The 6,000-nt window shown below is 32.7% G+C and overlaps 1 long non-coding RNA gene across 1 annotated transcript in view; it reads right to left on the bottom strand.

The window, feature by feature from the left end:
- Positions 1-3,277: 3,277 nt before the first annotated feature.
- LOC105377913 (uncharacterized) overlaps positions 3,278-6,000 on the bottom strand; it is a 64,390-nt gene continuing 61,667 nt past the window's right edge. The window contains exons 5-8 of the long non-coding RNA XR_942820.3: positions 4,927-5,117; positions 4,337-4,529; positions 3,817-3,920; positions 3,278-3,470 (exon numbers count right to left, since the gene is read on the bottom strand). This is a non-coding gene — a long non-coding RNA (uncharacterized LOC105377913). The remainder of the gene's footprint in view (positions 3,471-3,816; positions 3,921-4,336; positions 4,530-4,926; positions 5,118-6,000) is intronic.

The following is a 6,000-nucleotide window of genomic DNA, read 5'->3' as shown; positions in this document are numbered from 1 at the left end:
GCCAAAATGCCCTATTTATTAACAAATATAAAATTTTAGTTTAAACTATTTTTGCACAAGTGGTTCTCGCTTGAGGATTTACCAATTTATTAATCTATTGAAGAATGTAAACTAATATCCTAAAAAACTATTTTGAATATTTTGTATTACTTAAAAGCAATTTAGACAGAATGAGGACTGAAGAATTGTGCAATTTGAATGTAAAATTTGAATCCTTAACCTTCTTAATAAAAATAATTTCTCAAAATTTTCTCATCATATTTCACAAAGGATATGAATTCGCTTTTTCTCAAACATAACAAACCAGAGAAGTGCTCCAAATGAAAACCCTAACAAGATTTATCATCCACATTGCTTGAAATTCAACAAATCAAGCTTCAAATAAAGATTTTATTAAAATATACTCAAAATTTATATATTATGATAAAACTAAATGACAAAATAACTACATAAATACTCTGAGGACAAAATAATAAAAATTAATTATGAAACTGCTCAAAATGTGAGTCAAAAATGAATTAAGTTTCGTATATATAAAGAGTGTGATGAAACTAGCAAAATCTCACGTCGGCATTAATTTAGAGTTTTACGACATTTTAAGAACTTTTTCAGTTTTCATGCCTATGTTATCTTTTGCAATTTTCCAAACAATTTCCTTCTCATCATTTTCTTGACATTTCAGTTATCTTCACAAAAAAAAAAATCTACTTTTTGCTAAATAAAAGTTGTTTTTCCTGCCACAGGGAAAAAAAATTCCTTAACTGGAGGCAATTTGAAAATCTGAACAGGCAAAGAATATGTATTTCCTATTCTGTATTGTGTAAATTCAATATGATTATCTTGCATATATTTTACTTCTCTCAGTACTGACCTTGGAGGAATCCCATCTTATTTGTGCCTTTCTCAATTAAGTGGGGGAAAGCATTTGCGCATCTCAGTGCCTAGATTTCAATACATAAAACACAATGGCTATAAGCTTCATTAATGTTTTACCAATTTGTTCCTAATATTAACTCTGAGATAGTTTTACTTCTTATAATTTGGCTTATTCCAAGCATACTATGTAAAGCATTGTTGTATACTGTGTTTCTGAAATTTCTCGAGTGGAATGCAATTTTAAACTCTGAAATATATTATCACATAGAAATTTAAGGAATCACATTATCCTCAAATAAATCTATTGTATATTATAGGGAAAGTTATTGAGTATGTTAATTATTTAAATCCTTCTTACTGCAATTCCAATCCTTCTTATTGCAAAGTTAATAGATGTAGTTTTTATTTAAAAAGCATTATGTATAACTTTATTAAAATAGATATTCAAACATTAGAATTTTAGGAGATGTATTCAGGCTAATTGAAAAAAATAGTGTGTATTAACCGTGTACCGAGCACTGTGCTATTTACCAAATATACAGAAAGTCTTATAAAATAGTTATCTCCACCAAAATAGGAGATCAGTCTAAGCTATTCATTTGATACCTCGGTTAAATATACAAAAATGGTTAATCTTATCTTGATAGATAATGGTGATTGATTAAATAACTCCCTATATTACTGAGCACTAGAACTGTCCATTCCTTAAGCAATCTGTGCTCTAGATGACCTTTGGAGAAGCAGCTAGAAAACAGTGGTCTTTAGGCACATCGCTTAAAACTCTTGGGCTTAGGTCTCACCATCTAGGTAATGAGAAGATTTTTCCAGGTGAACATTTGAGGAAAAATATCTTACATTGTATCTCTCTCTCCCTGCTAGTAGTTTGAGTGATTTCTTCAGTACCAAACAGATTCCTACACTAATTCCTCATGAACAGGTTGCATAGTTTCACTATTATGCAGTATGAGAAAATTGTGTGATTGTAATTTTATCAAATTTTATCAAATAATTGTCTGTGAAAACAAAACTTTTATTTGCTTTCACAGGTAAACATGTAAGTGGTCCCATAATAAGAATGACACCTTATCTTTTATTTTATATTTTTCCTTTAAATGTTTATTTTTATAATAATTTTTGGGGTTGAATCATAATCCTGAAAAATACAGTGCTGAATGCAAAAATACCAAATGTCAAAATCTCAAAATATCAAAATCTTTAAAGTCTAAATCATTAAAGTCAAAAATCGCTAATGTCTGAAATCCCCACAATCACAATCACAGCATAACATCATCATGTTATATGTTAGATAGAACTAGTAACTTGTCATTGTCTTTACTTGAAAATTAAGTTTGATGCATATGGATGCCAAGCTGACAGTGGGTGGACTAGTTGAATTAATTTTAGATGTTAATTTGAGATTAAGAAATATCTAGAACCTGGTAAAACAATTTGTTATGCTATGTATTTAATCTTTGCATCATTTTCCAATAACAGAGGTGTAAACTCTGTATAGAATTTTAGAAAATTCTTATTCATTTTATGCACTTATATATGTAAATGCAATGTTTGTATGATATATGTTTGTGCCCCCAGTTTCTTTCCTTGCCTTTTTTTTTGAGACAGAGTCCCGCCCTGCTGCCCAGGCTGGAGTGAAATGGCATGATGTAGGCTCAGTGCAAACTCCGCCTGCCAGGTTCAAGCAATTCTCCCTGCCTCAGCCTCCCGAGTAGCTGAGACTGCAGGTGCTCGCCACCACGCTGGGCTAATTTTTGTATTTTTAGTAGAGACTGGGTTTCTCCGTGTTGGCCAGGCTGGTGTCAAATGCCTGATCTCAGGCATCCCAAAGTGCTCAGATTACAGGCATAAGCCATGTGCCCCCAGTTTCTAACACAGAGCTCCTAAAACTCTCCTAATCTCTTGAGTTATAGGGGTGCTAAAATAGTATTTTAAAAAATATTTAGTCTTTGACATCAGTTTCACACACAGAGCTCCTTGGAACCTCCTGGGTAATAGGAGCATTTTTTCTTCCAATGAAGCAACTCTTGTTGGGCTTCTGGATAGGGGCTGGTCACCAAAAGGATTCAGCCATAATTATTGAAGATCGGAATTTTCAGCCCACTTAATACTCTGGGAATTGGAGAAAAGCTGGAGACTGAGTTAATTATTGATTACGCTGTGATTAAGCCTCAAAAAAAAAAAAAAAACCTGAAGTACAAGGTTTGGAGAGCTTCCATAATTCATACTCTGAACAAAATTGTTTCAGGTTGGTGAACATATCCACATGCCAGGAGGGTTGTGCACCTCAACTCCACTGGGACAGAAACTCCTGCAATAGAAACCCTCCTAGATCTCCATCTACATACCTTTTCATGACTATTTATCTGTATCCTTTATCCCATCCTTCGTGATAAATTGGTAAATGTCAGTATATGTTCCCCTGAGTTGCATGAGCCATTCTAGCATATTATAAAGTTTTAGGAGGAGGTTGTAGGAATGCCTGATTTGCAGGCAGTCTGTTAGACACACAAGTGACAATCTGGACTTGTAATTGGTGTCTGAGGTCAGGGATAGTCTTGTGGGACTGAACCGTTAACCTGTGGGATAGGCATTAAATCCATAAAGTTAGTGTCAGAATTGAGTTAGACTGTAGGATACTCAATCAGTGTCCACTAAGAATTGGAGAATCACTTGGTGTGGCAAAACCCCCACACATCTGGTGTCAGCTTTAAAAAATTGACAAGCTTTAAAAAATGTCGCCAGATTCTTAAACAACAAAAATCGAAGGCCTTCCCCCTCCCCAATAATATTGCAATCTTTGGAGAGATTTCATCAGATTTTTTGTATGACTTTATGCTTTCAAAAACCTCTCCCTGTAAATCATTGTGCATTTTTACATCTTCCATAAATACAAAAGGATTTAAACAAATTATTACTCTATACCTCTCATGTTAAATACTTTACTCCAGTAAAAGGATAAGTAAACCCACTTCTTTGCTCATTGCTGATCGGTTCTTCAAATGTGTCCTCAACGTTCCATAGAGAACCTACATTTGAAGAGTATATGTCAGTCATTCCTTATAATGTAAAAAATAGTGCTCAGTTTTCACAATGAAAAAGTTAATTGAGCCATTCTAAATGCAGTTAATCCTTAACAATGCAGGGTTTAGGGGCGCAGATCCCCTTCCAACTGTTGTCACAGTTGAAAATCCATTTATAAATTTTGGCTCCCAACAACATCTCTACTAATAGTTTATGTTGACTGGAAGCCTTATGGATAACATAGTCATTTAACATACATTTTGTATGTTATATGTATTATATACATATTTTGTACATTATATGTATTATATATATTCTTACAATAAGGTAAGCTAAAGAAAAGAAATGTTATTAAGACATTATAAGAAAGAGAAAATGTATTTACAGTACTTTACTGTATTTATTGATACCATAATTTTACCTTATCTCTTTATAAGATGAATCGTCTGCCTGAAATGGCAGGCAATCACAGCTGCAGACCTCAATCTCTGGTACACATCAAGCAATTTTCTTGTAATGTCATGACGTTTCTCTGCTTCTTGGAAGCACTTCCAGCATCACTAGTGGCACTTTGCATGAGTTCCGTGATGTTACTCAACGTTTACAGTATTGCACTAAACACAATGAAAAATACGTGAGAACCACGAGAGATCACTTTATATGTGATATGCAATTTACTGGAGAAATGAACTGCTCATGCAGAGATGATTAGCATCACACGGTGTTTTAAGCATATACTCGCAACACTTAAGCTCACTGCAATAGCAATGAGAAACAGCTATGGAATTATTACAGCAGTACAGTATGTACTATGGTTGATTTTATGCAGTTGTAATTTAATACTGCATCTTTATATTTGTTTACATTTCTCTCCACTGCAAATGGCACCATGTACTGTCTGTGTTTGTGCGTGTTAAGTTTTTATAAATGTTACATTTTTATTAAAATCTGTGTATAATTTGTGGTGGGAAATGATACCACAGACTTATATCTACATATATTTTTGCATACATGAAATACATAACAGTTTCTTATTTTTTGATATATCCAGGGTCGCAGTTCATCTGTGAGTTTTCTCAAGTTGTCACAAATCTCCAAAAATTATTCCCGTATGTTTATTTTTAAAAATCCATGCATAAGTGGACCTGCACAGTTCAAACCCACTTTGTTCAAGGTCCAGTGCACTCTAGCAGATGCATAATCTAATGAAATAAAAGATAACAAATTTTATTGTTTTGAATTTACAATCTGCTTTTAAGATTTTTTAAGCAAGATAGACGAAATATATTTGATTTTTTACATACTCTGAATAAAATTATTATATTACTTTGAATAACCAGTGAGTAATTTTCTCTTTTTTATTTCAAATAATATATAAACTTACTATTAAAATACAGACATGATTACATTTTAACAGCCAATTGAATGCATATTACATTTTATTTATTAAATCATTGTTTTGTTATTTGTGTTATTTTTCAAAAGCTTTTAGCAATGCAGTTTTTAAGATAAAAGCATATTATAACAAAATAACAATATACTAATACTTTCAACATTTCTTCTCTGAGGTATAAAGCATGCGAGAGCCCTCTACTAGGTAGGAGAAGAACTAGATTGTAGTTAGGAAATCACTAGTTGATTGCCATGGAAAAATGTCTTAACCTCTCAAAAACTCATTTTCTTCTTCTGACTTTGTACATAGAATAAGCTCCAGACAATCTTACAAAAATTAAATACTAGATTATAGAGATTTCTCCCAATTCATTATAAGAATTCACCCAGTTGGCAATTATCATAAGATATTTTAAAAGATTAAGAAGCAAAATTGTTGCATTTTGTGGCCATCATTGAGTCCAGTTTAGTATACCAAAATCTTACAAAATTTGTGGGCCCACTTTAAGAAAAATAATTCAAACTAAGCACAGAGTCTTGGAAGCAGCCCATGCAAATGAGAGACTCTGAAGCTTAAATTTTATTAGCTTTTGCAACATTTATAATAAAAAAAGGAGCTAGATTAGAAAGAGATGCTTAGATAAAAGTTGGATACAGTGAGAAAGAAGGAAATGTGTTCCACGACCCTGTGGT

The sequence above is a fragment of the Homo sapiens genome, chromosome 6 (assembly GCF_000001405.40).
Source record: "Homo sapiens chromosome 6, GRCh38.p14 Primary Assembly".
NCBI lineage: Eukaryota > Metazoa > Chordata > Mammalia > Primates > Hominidae > Homo > Homo sapiens.
Note: the sequence above shows the minus strand (reverse complement) of the source record. Positions and strands in the feature narration are given on the sequence as shown.